General features: G+C 38.3%; 1 pseudogene across 2 annotated transcripts in view; it reads right to left on the bottom strand.

The window, feature by feature from the left end:
* Positions 1-19365, bottom strand: part of TXLNGY (taxilin gamma Y-linked (pseudogene)) — a 39813-nt pseudogene that overhangs the window by 18832 nt on the left and 1616 nt on the right. For both annotated transcript variants that reach the window (NR_045128.1, NR_045129.1), the window contains exon 2: positions 832-1129. The product of NR_045128.1 is annotated as a taxilin gamma Y-linked (pseudogene), transcript variant 1 (transcript). The remainder of the gene's footprint in view (positions 1-831; positions 1130-19365) is intronic.

Raw genomic sequence — 19365 nt, 5'->3', positions numbered from 1 at the left:
GAATGTGTATGTGTAAGAAACAACTATAATATAACTGACATTTTCATAAAGATTTTCATTTAAAACTTTTTAAATAATTTTAACCTCAAGCTATATTTTACACATATAATTGGGGCTATCAATTTTGAAGATATCTGTCTTATTTTCAAGGAATTACAATTACTTTATATATTACCATACTTTTTTTTTTGTCTTCCAGGGTAACAGAAAATGGATTAAGAATAAAAATTCCAAGTTTCAGTGTCACATATAAGTCATATATATCAATGTAAATGTTAGTATAAGGATGAAACACTGAGGGCAACTATTAAGGCATTTCAGATTTCAGTCATGAAATTTGACATATCATATTCTTAATCCTAATTGTCAAGCTAAGAGTGGAAGGGATAAAACAAATTCTAAAAATCAGTCTTATTTAACTCTTTCTACACTACAGATAACATTATATCCTCTCTAAATTTCAGTGTATAATCTTTTAAGCAAAATTAGCATACATATTGTTTTCATACTATTAGGTTATTTTCAAAGGTACAAAAAGCAAGGTAAATCAAATACTAATTACATCATATTGGCCTCAAACTTTCTTAAAACTTCAGTTCTTGTTACACAGAGAAATAATTAAGTTTCTTATAACTGGGCTTCGTATTTTGCTATTTTTGTTCCCTACACATAACTGGAGATGATAGGTGGACTAAACCAAGTGAAGAAACAAGTTTACCAGGCAACATTTACCTCCAAACAGGCCAAGTTCATAATCACTCATGCTGCAGAAAATGTAAAACAAAAAGACCAGTATGTGACAACATCCAACCACAGAGCAGAGATTATTACCTAAGACTTTTTCTTTGTTCCTGTTGCATTGTAAAGCTTGCTGACCAGACGGAGGGGCTACTTCTTGCTCAGGAAGCTCCCTTCTTGACTCTTGTGTGCAGTGCACTGGGCTCACCCAACTCCTGTTCTTTGTTATAAAGTCACGGCCTTCTTCATCTTCCAATAAATGTTTATTACTTGTGGCACTGCAATTTGAGTCTTGATGTTGAAGAATATCATGTGATTCAGAGTTACACAACATATCTGCTTTCTCTCTTAACCCACAAAGTCCAGCTTCTTCCATTGTGCTATTCACAAACTAGAGGGAAGGAGAGTAAGCATAAAGGTTGAAGAGAGAGTTAAATCAAATGTTATAAAGCAAAGAAAACTAAGCAGTGCTAAAAAGTACAATTTTCCATCCCTCTATGCTTTTGTACATTTTGTATATCTGACAATAAACAAGCAGGTCATAAGGCTTAGCAGCTTATTTTGCTTTTCATAGTGGTTTGTAAAGTAACACTATTTTTCTTTTTTTTTTTGAGATGGAGTCTCCCTCTGTCATCCAGGCTGGAGTGCAGTGGGGCAATCTTGGCTCACTGCAAGCTCCACCTCCCAGGTTCACGCCATTCTCTCTCCTCAGCTTCCCAAGTAGTTGGTACTACAGGCACCTGCCACCATGCCTGGCTAATTTTTTGTATTTTTAGTAGAGATGGGGTTTCACTGTGTTAGCCAGGATCGTCTCCATATCCTGACCTTGTGATCCGCCTGCCTCGACCTCCCAAAGTGCTGGGATTACAGGCGTAAGCCACCACGCCCAGCCAAGTAACACTACTTCTTAACAATCTAAAGTAAATGTAATTTTTAATTTCACAAAGAGGTAACCTAATTGCAAAGTATAAAGATATTAAAATTAGGAAGTTCCAAGATTGCCAAATAGGAACAGCTCGAGTCCAAAGCTCCCAGCATGAGCGATGCAAAAGACTGGTGATTTCTGCATTTCCAACATGAGCGACACAAAAAACTGGTGATTTCTGTATTTCCAACTGAGGTACCAGATTCATCTCACTGGGGCCTGTCAGACAGTGGGTGCAGCTCATGGAGCAGGGCAGGACATCGCCTCACCCGGGAAGCACAAGGGGTTGGGGAATTCCCTTTCCTATCAAAGGGAAGCTGTGACAGAAGGTACCTGGAAATTCGGGACACTACCACCCTAATACCGAGCTTTTCCAATGGCCTTAGCAAAGGGCACACCAGGAGATTATATCCCATGCCTGGCTCGGAGGGTCCCACACCCACGGAACCCGGCTCACTGCTAGCACAGCAGTCTGAGATCGAACTGCAAGGCAGCAGGGAGGCTGGGGGAGGGGTGTCCACAATTGCTGAGGCTTGAGTAGGTAAACAAAGTGGCCAGGAAGCTCAAACTGGATGGAGCCCACCGCAGCTCAAGGAGGCCTGCCTGCCTCTATAGACTCCACCTCTGGGGGCAGGGCATAGCTGAACAAAAGGCAGCAGAAACTTTTGCAGATTTCAACGTCCGTGTCGCACAGCTTTGAAGAGAGTAGTGCTTCTCCCAGCACGGAATTTGAGATCTGAGAACAAACAGACTGCCTCCTCAAGTGGGTCCCAGACCCCCGAGTAGCCTAACTAGGAGACACCTCCCAGTAGGGGCCGACTGACACCTCAAACAGCCAGGTGTCCCTCAGAGACAAAGCTTCCAGAGGAAGGATCAGGCAGCAACATCTGCTGTTCTGCAATATTTGCTGTTCTGCAGCCTCTGCTGGTGATACCCAGGCAAACAAGGTCTGGAGTGGACCTCCAGCAAACTCCAACAGACCTGCAGCTGAGGGTCCTGATTGTTAGAAGGAAAACTAACAGAAACAAAGGATATCCACACCAAAACCCCATCTGTATGTTACCATCATCAAAGACCAAAGGTAGATAAAACCGAAAAGTAACCAGAGCAGAAAATCTGAAAATTCTAACAATCAGAGCCCCTCTTCTCCTCCAAAGGAACGCAGCTCCTCACCAGCAATGGAACAAAGCTGGATGGAGAATGACTGACAAGTTGAGAGAAGAAAGCTTCAGATGATGGGTAATAACAAACTTCTCCGAGCTAAAGGAGGATGTTCAAACCCAGCACGAGAAAGGTAAAAACCTTGAGAAAAGATTAGATGAATGGCTAACTAGAATAAACAGTGTAGAGAAGTCCTTAAATGACCTGATGGAGCTGAAAACCATGGCATGAGAAATATGTGATGCATGCACAAGCCCCAGTAGCTGATTTGATCATGTGGAAGACACAGTATCAGTGACTGAAGATCAAATGAATGAAATGCAGGGAGAAGAGAAGTTTAGAGAAAAAAACAGTAAAAAGAAATGAATGAAGCCTCCAAGAAATATGGGACTATGTGAAAAGATCAAATCTACATCTGACTGGTGTACCTGAAAGTGATGGGGAGAACGGAACCAAGCTGGAAAACACTCTTCAGTATATTATCCAGGAGAACTTCCCCAACCTAGCAAGGCAGGCCAACATTCAAATTCAGGAAGCACAGATAATACCACAAAGATACTCCTCGAGAAGAGCAACTCCAAAACATATGTCAGATTCACCAAAGTTGAAATGAAGGAAAAAATGTTAAGGGCAGCCAGAGAGAAAGGTCAGGTTACCCACAAAGGGAAGTGCATCAGATTAACAGCTGATCTCTTGGCAGAAACCCTACAAGCCAGAAAAGAATGGGGGCCAATATTCAACATTCTTAAAGAAAAGAATTTTCAATCCAGAATTTCATATCCAGCCAAACTAAGCTTTGTAAGTGAAGGAGAAATAAAATCCTTTACAGACAAGTAAATGCTGAGAGATTTTGTCACCACCAGGCCTGCCCTAAAAGAGCTCCTGAAGGAAGCAATAAACATGGAAAGGAACAACCAGTACCAGCTACTGTAAAAACATGCCAAATTGTAAAGACCATCAATGCTAGGAAGACACTGCATCAACTAATGAGCAAAATAACCAGCTAACATCATAATGACAGGATCAAATTCACACATAGCAATATTAACCTAAAAGGTAAATGGGCTAAATGCTCCAGTTAAAAAACAGTCTGGCAAATTGGATAAAGAGTCAAGATCCACCAGTGTGCTGTATTCAGGAGACCCATCTCATGTGCAGAGACACACATAGGCTCAAAATAAAGGGATGGAGGAAGATCTACCAAGCAAATGGAAAACAAAAAAAAGCAGGGGTTGCAATCCTAGTCTCTAATAAAACAGACTATAAACCAACCAGATCAAAAGAGACAAAGCAGGCCATCACATAATGGTAAAGGGATCAATTAAACAAGAAGAGCTAACTATCCTAAATATATATGCACCCAATACAGGAGCACCCAGATTCATAAAGCAAGTCCTTAGAGACCTACAAAGAGACTTAAGACTCCCATACTATAATAATGGGAGACTTTAAAATCCCAGTGTCAACATTAGACAGATCAATGAGACAGAAAGTTAAAAAGGATACCCAGGAATTGAACTCAGCTCTGCACCAAGCGGACCTAATAGACATCTACAGAACTCTCCACCCCAAATCAACAGAATATACATTTTTTCAGCACCACACCACACCTATTCCAAAATTGACCACATTGTTGGAAATAAAGCTCTCCTCAGCAAATGTAAAAGAGAAATTATAACAAACTATCTCTCAGACCACAGTGCAATCAAACTAGAACTCAGGATCAAGAAACTCACTCAAAACTGCTCAACTACATGGAAACTGAACAACCTGCTCCTGAATGACTACTGGGTACATAACGAAATGAAGGCAGAAATAAAGATGTACTTTGAAACAATGAGAACAAAGACACAACATACCAGAATCTCTGGGACACATTTAAAGGAGTGTGTAGAGGGAAATTTATAGCACTAAATGCCCATAAGAGAAACCAGTAAAGATCTAAAATTGACACCCTAACATCAGAATTAAAAGAACTAGAGCAGCAAGAGCAAACACATTCAAAAGCTAGCAGAAGGCAAGAAATAACTAAGATCAGAGCAGAACTGAGAGAGATAGAGACACAAAAAACCCTTCAGAAAAAATCAGTGAATCCAGGAGCTGGTTTTTCAAAAAGATCAACAAAATTGTTACACCACTAGCAAGATTAATAAGAAGAAAAGAGAGAAGAATCAAATAGATGCAATAAAAAATGACAAAGGGGATATCACCACCGATGCCACAGAAATACAAACTACCATCAGAGAATACTATAAATACCTCTACATAAACTAGAAAATCTAGAAGAAATGGATAAATTCCTGGACACATACACCCTCCCAAGACTAAACCAGGAAGAAGCTGAATCTCTGAATAGACTAATAACAGGTTCTGAAATTGAGGCAGTAATTAATAGCCTACCAACCAAAAAAATCCAGGACCAGACGGGTTCACATCCGAATGCTACCAGAGGTACAAAGAGGAGCTGGTACCATTACTTCTGAAACTATTTCAATCAATAGAAAAAGAGGGAATCCTCCCTAATTCATTTTATGAGGCCAACATCATCCTGATACCAGCAGAGACACAACAAAACAGAGAATTTTAGACCAATATCCCTGATGAACATCGATGCAAAAATCCTCAATAAATACTGGCAAACTGAATCCAGCAGCACATCAAAAAGCTTATCCACCACGATTAAGTGGGCTTCATCCCTGGGATGCAAGGCTGGTTCAACATATGCAAATTAATAAATGTAATCCATCATATAAACAGAACCAAAGGAAAAAAACACATGATTATCTCAATAGATGCAGAAAAGGCCTTCGAGAAAATTCAACAGCGCTTCATGCTAAAAACTCTCAATAAACTAGGTATCAATGGGACGTATCTCAAAATAATAAGAGCTATTTATGACAAACCCACAGCTAATAACATACTGAATGGGCAAAACTGGAAGCATTCCCTTTGAAAACTGGCACAAGACAGGGATGCCCTCTCTCGCCACTCCTATTCAACACAGTGTTGGAAGTTCTAGCCAGGGCAATTAGGCAAGAGAAAGAAATAAAGGGTATTCAAGTAGGAAAAGAGGAAGTCAAATTGTCCCTGTGTGCAGATGACATGATTGTATAATTAGAAAACCCCATCGTCTCAGCCCAAAATCTCTTTAAGCTAATAAGCAACTTCAGCAAAGTCTCAGGATACAAAATCAATGTGCAAAAATCACCAATAACAGAAAAACAGAGAGCCAAATCATGAGTGAACTCCCATTCACAATTGCTTCAAAGAGAATAAAATACCTAGGAATCCAACTTACAAGGGATAGGAAGGACCTCTTCATAGCCAGTGCTCAACGAAATAAAAGAGGACACAAACCAATGGAACAACATTCCATGCTCATGAATAGGAAGAATCAAAATTGTGAAAATGGCCATGCTGTCCAAGATAATTTATAGATTCAATGTCATCTCCATCAAGCTACCAATGACTTTCTTCACAGAACTGGAAAAAACTATTTTAAAGTTCATATGGAACCAAAAAAGAGCCTGCATCTCCAAGACAATCCTAAGCCAAAAGAACAAAGCTGGAGGCATCACACTACCTGACTTCAAACTATACTACAAGGCTACAGTAACCAAAATAGCACGGTACTGGTACCAAAACAGAGACATAGACCAATGGAAGAGAACAGAACCCTCAGAAATAATGCCACACATCTACAACCATCTGATCTTTGACAAACCTGACAAAAATAAGCAATGGGGAAAGGATTCCCTATTTAATAAATGGTGCTGGGAAAACTGGCTAGCCATATGTAGAATGCTGAAACTGGATCCTTTTCTTACACCTTATACAGAAATGAATTCAAGATTGATTAAAGACTTAAAAGTTAGACCTAAAACCATAAAAACCCTAGAAGAAAACCTAGGCAATACCATTCAGAACATAGGAATGGGCAAGGACTTCCTGATTAAAACACCAAAAGCAGTGGCAACAAAAGCCAAAATTGACAAATGTGATCTAATTAAACTAAAGAGCTCCTGCACAGCAAGAGAAGCTACCAACAGAGAGAACACACAACCTACAGAATGGGAGAAAATTTTTCTAATCTACCCATCTAAGAAAGAGCTAATATCCAGAATCTACAAAGAACTTAAACAAATTTACAAGAAAAAAATCAAACAATCCCATCAAAAATTGGGCAAAGGATATGAAAAGACACTTCTCAAAAGAAGACATTTATGCAGCCAACAGACACATGAAAAAATGCTCATCACTGGCTGTCAGAGAAATGCAAATCAAAACCACAATGAGATACTATCTCACACCAGTTAGAATGGCAATCATTAAAACATCAGGAAACAACACGTGCTGGAGAGGATGTGGAGAAATAGGGACGTTTTTATACGTTGGTGGGACTGTAAACTAGTTCAACCATTGTGGAAGACAGTGTGGTGATTCCTCAAGGATCTACAACTAGAAATACCATTTGATAAAGCCATCCCATTACTGGGCATATACCCAGAGGATTATAAATCATGCTGCTATAAAGACACATGCACAAGTATGTTGATTGCAGCATTATTCACAATAGCAAATACTTGGAACCAACCCAAATGCCCATCAGTGATAGACTGGATTAAGAAAATGTGGCAGATATACACCATGTAATACTATGCAGCCATAAAAAAGGATGAGTTCATGCCCTTTGTAGGGACATGGATGAAGCTAGAAACCATCATTCTGAGCAAACTATCGCAAGGACAGAAATTCAAATACTGCATGTTCTCACTCATAGGTGGGAACTGAACAATGAGAACACTTGGACACAGGGTGGGGAACATCACACACCAGGGCCTGTTGTAGGGTGGGGAGAGGGGGGAGGGATAGCATTAGGAGATATACCTAATGTAAATGATGAGTTAATGGGAGCAGCACACCAACATGGGACATGTCTACATATGTAACAAACCTGCACGTTGTGCACATGTACCCTAGAAATTAAAGTATAATAAAAATAAAAAGAGTGGTGGTTGGTAAACAAACCCCATAAAAGGCAAAAAAAAATTTTAAAGAAAAGAAAAGCAGATGCTAAAATTAAATCATTACAAGGTATCATCATATAATGGGGGCATACGAAAATCCAAGGGTCACTCTCCACAAAACAGCTGGAGCTGGCACATCTGTCATAATAAACTTTTTCATACTTCCACAATCTTTTAAAAACCTTACAACACAGGGGAATGCTTACTGAATAAAAAAGTTGGTTTTCCATAATAAGTACTGTAAGATTTTTCATTGCCTACATACCATTGCCATACCCTAGGGTAACAGTAGCCAACAGATCTCCTGGTACAAACTGCTAGTGCCAGAGGGAGCAATGAGGACATTATTCTCTAAAAACTGTGAACCTAAGTTTAAACCTTTCTGAGGGTTCCCTGAGAAGGCTTTGCATAAGGTTGCCTTTGTTTTGCCATATGGAGAGCTGGGGCTGCTTTCAGGAAGCGTCAGAAGCGTTAAAGGCAGGAGTACTGAATGCAGCAATACTGTCTCTAACATGACTTCTGCTACTTTAATGAGAATGAATAGGCATGGGTTCAAGTTTCCCTGTCCCTGAATGAAACCAAAGGCCATATATAGTTCTCCTGGCACACTAAGGAGCTGTGGTGAATGAACAACTAATCCATGCAGACTTTCGGAGTCTCTGCCTGTGTCCCAGTGTCCCAAAGGAAAATTGGGACACTGAGTATTGCTATCCATAGAAAGGGACCATGCCCTCTCAGTTTCCTCCTGAGTAATTATCAGGACAAAAAAGATGAATGATTATGTTAATATAAAACTTCTGAAAATTCAGCATTCTACTCTGACTGCTCTTTAGGCTTAATACTTCTCTTTTTCCTGGACAAATCCAGCTGCAGAATGAGGATAGGGGATCCAGCTACCTGGTTTCCCCTGTGACTGACCTAGTTCTAGATCACAAGGATACTGACCACAAAGTCTCCCTATGATGGACCACACAAGCAAGAGAGGAGAACATAATGGAGCTCTGAAAGGTTTACAGATACTCTCATTCCTTTAGCATCTCACATTTCTGGACAAACCATTTACTGTGAGTAGGGGATGACTGAATGGAAGTCAAAGTTATAGTTACTAGAAATACAGACTGTGGCAGCAGAAAACCCTAGGCACAAGGGAAGTAAAATATTAAGACTCTAAGGTATAAGAATAGGACATTAATGACACTTTTAAATCTGCTACTGAAGACTTACAGACACACACACACATCTGCACACGTGCACACCCTTGTGTGTCTTTCCCAAAGACAACAGGCCTGTTAAATTTGCTTTCCTAGCTAGTCAACTCAGATGATTTGATTGCCATTCACACGGAAATAGCAACGGATGTCCCAGAACCTGAACCTTCCCAACTAATTATCACTGGATGTCTTCCCCGACTCCTCTAGTCATTATTTAGTCATTCCAGGGACATCCAGCTTGTGTTACACACAGAAAGGGAAAATTGACTGATTGATTGGTCTCAGTTAGCTCCTGCAAAAAAGACTCAGTTTAATTATTCACTTAACAGCCAGCCAAGGAGCCATGCTAAAGCAAGTAACCCTGTGGCCACTTGAACATGGATACAGGTCCAGCTTGGGGGACCCCAATAATCATAAACACTTTATTTGCAGACACACCACATGTGCCTCCTGGGTGGAAGCCAGGCATTAACATGAGAAAACACTGTGACTACTATCTCAGATGTAGTTATAACAGATCTTCAAGTGTTTAAGGATACAGAGTAGACTATGTAACCCTAAAAACAAATGTGAAGTGCTCTCCACAATGAGGTTATCTTTGCTTATTTGTTGAAGCCCCCAAGAGAGACAACTGACTCATTTATACGCACATTGAAGTAGTTATCCTTACAATGGGAGTCACTCAGTTACAAAAGTATAATATGTCTGAGATTTAACTAGTAACTTATGAGATAAACTGAACAGATCTTGTCTCAGCCTATGACGGTCATATTAAACACCGTAGCCAATGAAGTTGTGTAATCAAAGGAAAATTGAACAGAAGCCAGTATGCTGTCTCTGCTATCTTAGGAGCAGAGATACAGAGGATCTTTGTTCCACTGTATTTTTTCAAGGATGCCTGTATAAAAAGCAGCCTTAGAAAAAAATAAAAATACTATTATATGTACAAGCAAAGAGCAGGTTTGCTTACTACCTGTGTAAGATTACAATAAGTTTAGCGGCTTATCTCATTACCTTAGGTTCCTTCTGGAGACTCTATGGGAGCATCTGTGCCCTAGCCTCTTCCACAGGCTTACAATATTAGAAAATGAGATTTGTTAACATTAGTTAGAGGCTGCCTGCATTTCTTAGATCTCTGCTTCCTCTACCTTTAAAACTAGTAATGACAAGTCCAGTCCTATGCATAATGCCGTGTCTCTGGTTCTGATTCTTCTGCTTTCTTTTTTCATTTATAAAGATTCTTGTGATTTCACTGGGCACAGCCAGATAACCCTACATAATTTTCCTCTCTCAAAATCCTAACTTTAAACAACATCTACAATAACACCTTTTCCCAATATGATAATTCACAGATGTCAGGACTTAAAACATGATCATCTTTGGGCAGCCACTGCTGTTCTGTCTACCACACTGCCCAGTGTAAAAAGTTTCAGGTTCTGTAAGCTCATGATTTGTCTTCTATTTCGTATTGTCTGGTTCTCAACACATCAACCTATAGGAATCGAGGTTCAGGACAGAGGTGCAAATGTGGACATAGTGGTAGATGCCATTGTGAAGAACTATTGTTTCAGCTGGGCATGGTGGCTCACTCCTGTAATCCCCACACTTTAGGAGGCTGACGTGGGCGGATCACGAGGTCAGGAAATCGAGGCCATACTGGCTAACACAGTAAAACCCCATCTCTACTAAAAAATACAAAAAAAACTAGCCAGGCCTGGTGGCGGGTGCCTGTACTCCCTGCTACTCGGGAGCCTGAGGCAGGAGAATGGTGTGAACCCAGGAGGCAGAGCTTGCTGTGAGCCCAGATTGCGCCACTGCACTCCAGCCTGGAGTGGTTAATATTTTACTTCCCTTGTGCCTAGGGTTTTCTACTGCCACAGTTTGTATTTCCAGTAACTATAACTTTGACTTCCGTTCAGTCATCCCCTACTCCCAGTACATGGTTTGTCCAGAAATGTGACATGCTAAAGGAATGAGAGTATCTATAAATCTTTCAGAGCTCCATTATGTTCTCCTCTCTTGCTTGTGTGGGCCATCATAGGGAGACTTTGTGGTCAGTATCCTTGTGATCTAGAACTAGGTCAGTCACAGGGGAAACCAGGTAGCTGGATCCCCTATCCTCATTCTGCACCTGGATTTGTCGGCGACAAGAAAAAAAAAAAGAGAGAAACTATTGTTTCAATAGCTCTGTCAACATCCATAAACTATGGCAATCTTATTAATTTGTAAATACAGTTTCTGATTCTTCATAGTTCTTTTCTTATTATTATAGTTTAAGTTCTGGGGTACATGTGCAGAATGTGCAGGTTTATACATGTGTATACATAGGTATATACACACCATGGTAGTTTGCTGCACCCATCAACCCATCATCTACATTAGGTATTTCTCCTAATATTATCCCTCCCCTAGGCCCCCACCCCTGACAAACCCTGGTGTGTGATGTTCCCCTACCTGTGTCCATGTGTTCTCATTCTTCAACTTTCACCTATGAGTAAGAACATGTGGTGTTTGGTTTTCTGTTCCTGCGTTAGTTTGCTGAGAATGAAGCTTTCCAGCTACATCCATGTACCTGCAAAGGACATGAATTCATCCTTTTTTATGGCTGCATAGTATTCCATAGTGCCTATGTGTCACATTTTCTTTATCCAATCTAACACTGATGGGCACTTGGGTTGGTTCTAAGTCTTTGCTATTGTGAACAGTGTCTCAATAAACATACATGTTTTTATAATAATAATAGTATATAATATATGATAGTATAGTATTTCTTATTACTATCGTTATCTTGATTAGGGTCAGACATTTTATAGAAAATGAACCAAATAAGTATGGGAGGATAAATAATACAGTTATTCATTGCAATGATAAAAATCAAGCTTTCTAGTGAAAATTAGAATTTTGGAAAGTTTCAATCTGCATTAGCCTGCCAGCTTCCCACTCTTTAAAGACTTTTCTGATAAGGCCAGTAATAATATTAACAAATCTCATTTTCTAATATTGTAAACCATCTGAAAGATCTATACAACTCAGCAAACCAATATTTCCAAATGACAAATGTTACAAAATTACTGAAAGGCATAAAATTCACTTAAAACATAAAAAAAAGGTGATAGAAGTTTAATATAACACAGAAAAGAGTTCACTGATTCCACACGAAGGTCTTCAATAAATTGTTTTTTTTTTTTCTCTGAGATGGAGTCTCGCTCTGTTGCCCAGGCTGGAGTGCAGTGGGGCAATCTTGGCTCACTGCAAGCTCCGCCTCCCAGGTTCACACCATTCTCCTGCCTCAGCCTCCGGAGTAGCTGCGACTACAGGTGCCCACCCCCACACCCAGGTAATTTTTTTGTATTTTTTAGTAGAGATGGGGTTTCATCATGTTAGCCAGGATGGTGATCCACCCGCCTTGGCCTCCCAAAGTGCTGGGATTACAGGCATGAGCTACTGCACCTGGCCAATAATTTTTAACTAAAAGTATCCTAAGCCAAAAAGTTTGAGAAGTACTGCCTAAGTACAGCAGGGATATATAAAGAATCAAAGGAAAGACATCATCTAGGAAAGTCCCAATGTTGGCACCTATTGTCAGGCAAATCTAGGGAAACGTGAAAAGTTTCATTTTCTTCTTAGCAAACCATACCCAAAATATAGGTCTCAAATTATTAAGTGGTTGGTATATCAATTAACGCAAATGAGTGGTGACAGATAATTCATATAAAGCATTTTCTCTTGGCCTTCATTGTTTGGCTCACTGTCATGAAGTCAGTTGCAACAGCATTTAATCTACTTTTTCATTTAATCTAGAGAAATAGCTTATAGGCAGGTATGATAAACAGACAATCTCAGTGATGAGCCAATTTCAGTTTGTCCAGGGATACGAATCAAAGACATGGAAACATGAGAATAAGTGATTATCAATAACTATAACATTCCAAAGAGTATGGTCTTTCAAGAGCAGAGTAAATATGGAGTTCTGATGCAGAATATAAAACTCCAGCAAAATAACATCCTAGGAGTTAGTATAAGTACTACCTGTAACAGCAAAAGACCCTGCAGTGATTGCTGTGGTATACAAAAGAATACACAGAGCTACAGAGAGCTACTCACAGGTAAATTCAAAGAGAAATAGTCATTGCCAAATTTAGAGATGAGGAAACCAAAAGAAGCCTAGAATTACTAAAACAGTTTCAGAAAGGGTAAATTATTACAGTCATGTTTAGCATCATAATTTCTACACTACTAGTAGGTTCTCATAAGGTAATACTCTATCTTAGATCACATATATTGTTGGCCTTTTAAAGCATGCACAACTTCACTGTATTTACATTTACTGCCTATGACTATTTTATTTATAAAACTGAAAGAGGTTACAACTAGTTCTAAAACTCTAACACAGTGATTATTTGCAAATGGAGATATCTCTATGAATCTAAATGCCAACCTTGGCAGCAAAAGAATCAGGAAATCCAAAAAAAAGATTGTAATGCCCAAAGACACTGAAATATGCTTTTGCCTTACTTGTTTTGGAAAAGGCCAACAACTGGGTCACTCAGTTAGTATCATCAAGTCATACATTTCTAGATGTCCAATCGTTCTCTACTTTTATGGATTACCTAAATGGAACTACTTGGTCACAATTTTATGAAGTTACACTTCCCCAGCTCCAATTAAACCAATCATAATAAGCTAAGAAACATCCAGCCTTGTTTTTTTACCCAGATCATTTTAACGTATGTTGACACTATTGCAAGACTGACAGGAAAAACTAAACTCTAAATCTCTTCTAAGTGTGCTCTTTTAAACTCTCAATTCAGAATATTTCATCTCTGGTCACCGATAGGTGAGGATTCCTCTCCATTCTCGCCAATTCTGCAGAAGACAATAAATGGGTGGCCTAGGATTCAATTTAATTCTGGTCACTAGTCATCTAGAAAGAAAGAATGTTTCTACAAGTTAAGAGGTCAGGCCCACTAGACTGCCCCCACTTCAGATGTCAGAAACAGGGCTCATTTTGTAAACTATGCTGTCCTTAACCTCCTCCTTTGGTTCAATTAATTTGCTAGAGTGGCTCACAGAAGTTAGAGAAACACTGAGACTTACAGGTTTATTATAATGAATATTACAATGGATACAAATGAAAAGCTAGACAGGAGATGCAAATGGTGAGGTATGTGGGAAGGAGCATGAGGCTTCACTGTTCCAGGAACCTCTTGGACCCTTCACACTTCAAGCTACCTGGAAGTTATGTAAACCTCACTCACTAGGTTTTTATGAGGCTTCACTGCATAGGCATAACTCACTACATTACCGGTGGCTGGTGATCAACTAAACCTTCAGCCCCTGGTGCCCTCCCTGGAAAGCTTGGGATAAGACTGAAAGTCCCAATCTTCTAATCACAAGGTTGGTTTCTCTGGCAACCAGCTCCCATTCTGGGACTAAGAACACACCAATAGTCACCTCATTAGAAAAAGATTCTCCTATCACCAGGAAATTCCAAGGGATTTAGGAGCTGTTTGTCAAATGCTCCTATTACTCAGGAAATTACAAAGGTCTTCGGATCTCTATGTCAGGAACTGGAGGTCAAAGATTAAATATTGGAACAAAAAATTCTCCTAGCATCCCATCAACAAGGATTTTAGGAGGTGTATGTTAGGAAAACGGGGCAAAGAACAAATATATTTATTATTTCCCAGAGGAGAATCTGTTTTGTCTTTTTCAGTTTACAGAGGTTGCCTCCATTATTTGGTTTATTTTCCTGCCTCCATCTTTAAGATTAACAGCAAAACATCTTCAGACCTCTCTCTTACTCTCTCTCTTTTCTCTCTTTTTCTCTGTCTCTCTCTGAGATCTCCTTACTTTTTTTGGCGGGGGCAGTGGGGGCTATAAATTCTCCTTTTAATCTTATTTTTATTTTAAAATATTTTAAGAAAAAATAAAACTTATATATTCCTAGGACATCTCTTTTTCTGACTGATCTTGCTGCCCTCCTCGTAAATGAACTCCTGTGACTGATTACACTCGTTCACTACATAATCCAAGATAATCTTCCAATCTCGAGATCCTACTTTATGATATCTGCAAATCAAGTATTGCCAAGCTGGACAACATATTCACAGGTATCAGAGATTAGGACATAAATATCATTTGATGAGTTGGGACATATTATTCTACCTACCACATATACATTATTGCCTTTAATGTGGTTCACACTTCAATTCCTAAAAGAGAAACTCTCTTCAAAACCAACAGCACAACTTCCAGAATCAGTTCTCCACCAAACAATACTGCCTTGTGTGAGAACACAAAATGTATCATCTTAGCAAGCAAATATTATCATGACATATTAAAGGGGGAGAAGTGTACCAGAGTGAGGATCATTGAAGGACACTTTGGAATTGTTACATTGAAACAAAAATCCAAGGCAATGAAGATAAATAAAATTATCTTGGTGGAACAGAGAGACAACACTGGATATTTTATAAGTCTGTCCCATCAACTAATCATCAACTCATAAAACTCACAGTTTTAAGTACCAACATAAATTCAACTAGAAAATGGGCTGAATCATAAAAACATAATCTCAGGGTCTGAGTGGATATTAAGGTCAACTAACATCTTTTTTTCTTTTGAATATTCTACCTGGTAAAATTTTAACATAGTTCCCATGCACTGCTTTGAACAACATATTAAATTTATATAATACTTTATATGTCTAAATGCTGTCACAGATACTATAGTATCTAAAAGTTACTTTGTACATCACATTAAGATCAAGGAAAAAAGAACTGGGAAGAGACAGAGAAAAGAGACAAAGGGATTTAATTTGGACATTAGGTTAAAACTTACTTTATATAACCAAAAATTGTCCAAATAAAGTACTTTGAAACTCTGGAATCTAATCAGAACTTACAATAACCAGGGAAGTACTAGATTAAAAAAAAGAAGATACTACATTTCAGAAAGAGATCTGTGGCATTTTAATTAACCTGCCTACCATCCCTAATCTGTACCTTGACGGTAACCATTAGGAAAGCAGCTAGTATTCCTGGTGTGAACTGCTGGTGCCAGAGTGGGGAATATAAACCTTGCTCTTAAAGAGCTATGGTGGTGCGGTTCACTTGTCTAGTGGTTCCCCAGGGGAAGGCCACAGAACCTTCTCAGGGCTGTTGTGTCCTGCTGGTGATATTTGTTGAAGCCCCAGCCACTAGAAGTAAGGAGTAAACAGAGAAAAAAAGTAGTACGTAGGCTAAAAAGCCTTAAGGGGAAATAAGAGGCTGGGAAAGAGATACACAAAAATGTTAAGGTTTTATAAAGGATTGACAAATACCATGGGACCTACAAGGATACATGCATGTCCAAAGCAGGATGCACATGTAGAAAACCCTAGGTTTTCTCCTCTGGCTGACCATCAGGATGCACACAACAAGGCACCATCCTCCTTTGGGGCATTCCTTGGTTCCAGGCAGACCCCCATCCCACACCACCTGCAAATACCAAAATCCCAGAATTTTCAAATCCCTTACATATAATGTTATAGTATTTGCACATAACCTACACACATCCTCCCGTATACTTTAGAGTACTCAGAATACCTAATACAATGTACATGCTATGTAAAGAGTTGTTATGCTGTATGGTTTAAGAGAAATTACAAGAAAAAAAAGTCTACATGTTCAGTGCAAATGCAACCATCTATTTTTAATTTTTCAAATATTTTCAATCCACAGTTGGTTGAACCTACAAATGTGAAACTCACAGACACAAAGGGCCAACTGTACTACTTAAGGTAAGTTTTAAATTGCCCAGCTAAGCACTGAAGACACCCAATCTACAAAGACTGGAAGTTTTTACTGCTATTCTTGTTTCTCCAGGCTTTTCATAAAATTTAACTCACTAGCTGACCACAAACTGATGTAGAGACATCTGAAACCCACATACAACAGTCTTCACAAAAATAGTTTGGCCACTTAACAAACCCCAAAATTCACTTAAAAAAACCCCGTAACAACCAGCAACCACAAACTCTGGTGAGTAGACAGAATCTGATTTCCAGTGTTATGACCAGGTATTCCCCAATACCACTTCAAGACAAGGCCAAAGGGTATCTACGCCTTCTTTTGACCTAAGATTAGTCAGTCTTTTCTTTCATCTACAGACCACAAATTTTGTCTTACCACTGGTCATGCACTAAAATAAGAGCACACACTCACTTTAATAGCTCATCTGAAGAACTGGTTTACCATGTGAGATACATTTCCTGCTCTCTGTTCTCCCCATTTGCTTGTTCAATTTGTCCTTAAGTTTCTACTAATCCTGCTTATCCTTCCCTAGGAAAGAAAAATATTTGTTTGATTTTAAGGTGCTTAAGCTTCCTGAATTCAGTGTTATCTCTACTAGAATAATCTCTTTAATGTCTAAATCTGAATTTGACAGTTACCATATGGTAATATTCAAAGCCTTCGGTTTCAAAAAAAATTGTAAGTCATGCAAAAAAAAAAAAAAGGAAAAAAAACAGGAAAGTATGGGCAATGAACAGAAATAAAAAAAAATAAAAGAAAACACTCTGGAGGAAGCCTAGGTTTTAGACTTACTAATGGTTTTATAAACCAACTGTCATAAATATATTCAAAGAGCTAGGTGGGAAACCACAAACAAAGAGCTAAAGAAAATTAGGAAAACAGTAAGTGAACAAAATAATAACATAACCAATCAAATGAAATTCTGAAGCTGAAAAGTACAACAAACTGAACATTTTACTAGACAGGCTCAACAGCAGATTTGAGCAGGCAGAAGAATCAACAAACTGGAAGCTAAGTCAACTGAAACTATACAGTCTGAGGAACAAAAAACAAAAGATAAATAAAAATCAAGGGCTTAAAAGACCTTTGATTCTCTCCAACATACAGAGACATGCCTATTACCCACAATAGGAAGAGGCAGCAAAGGGGTGGTAAAGGATATCTGCAGAATAGCCGAAAACAACTTCACATTTGATGAAAATCATTAATTTACACATCCAAGAAGCTCCAGGATCTGTTAAGTAGGAAAAACTCAAAGACTATCCTTCAAAATAAAGGAGAAACTGAAATATTCCCAGATACACAAAAGCTGAAAGAACATACTACTAATAAATCTGACCTACAAAAACAATGCAAAAGAGGGCCCTGTAGTCAGAAATAAAAGGCCACCAGACAATAATTCAAACCTATAAAGAAAAATAAAGAACAATGGCAGAGATAACTATGTAGGTAAATATAAAAGCTAGCATTATTAAACTTGGGGATTGTAAGGTTTTTTCTATATGATTTAAAAGAAAAATTTACAAAACTAATTTTATAAAATAAATGTATAAAACAATATGATATCGACACACACTGTATAAAGAGGTAACGTGACAATCAGAAGTCAGAGTGCAAAACTATAAAGGAGCAAAGTTTCTATACACTACTGAATCTAAGATTCAAACTACTTTATCATAAACAATAAACCAATTCAAACTATTATACACTTTATTGTAAGTGTTAAGAACAGAAAAAGATATTCCATCAAAATAATAAGCAAAAGAAACTAAGACAATTATGCTAATATTACACAAAATAAACTTTAAGACATAATATTTTTAAAGAGACAAAGGACGCTATCCATTAATAAAAGGGTAATCCACCAAGTAGATTTAACAAATATTAACTTATATGCACTTAAGCCCAAAATATATTAAGCAAAAACAGGCAAAACTGAAGGGACAGAAAATCAGCACGAGAATAACAAAACCTAAAAAAGCCCATCTTCTCTAGTTTCTGACTTAAGTATTGTAACTTACCAAAGAATGACAGAGTCATTTTTCTTTTTAATTGATCTAAGATTTTTAAAACAACACAAATATTATTTCTGCATCCTGGAAAAGAGGGGCAGAGGTTCAGTTAAAATTAAGTAATTTTTATTTCCCAGTCAGTGACATACAGGAAATAAAAAAATAAAGGTGATAAGGAAGTAACCTAAAAGTGAATTTGGAAATACAAAATATTCAGCAATTTTTAAAAATAAAAATTTTAAAAAAATTTAGATACGTATTTCAATCCGATCTCAGTTAGTTGAATAACGAAAGAAAGAAACCCAAAGTAAAAAGATGGCCAGAAACATGAGCAAAGAAGAAAGGAATATGAGGTTAAGTATAGAAAAGTAAGACAGAAACAGAAGTAAATTCTCATTATTCACAACTAGCTATTAACTAGAGCTCTGCTCTTCAAAGGGTCATTAACTTTAGTTGTAACATGGTCATTAAAAATGCTATTTGATTAAACCTTTG

Source organism: Homo sapiens, chromosome Y (assembly GCF_000001405.40).
Source record: "Homo sapiens chromosome Y, GRCh38.p14 Primary Assembly".
Taxonomy (NCBI): Eukaryota; Metazoa; Chordata; class Mammalia; order Primates; family Hominidae; genus Homo; species Homo sapiens.
Note: the sequence above shows the minus strand (reverse complement) of the source record. Positions and strands in the feature narration are given on the sequence as shown.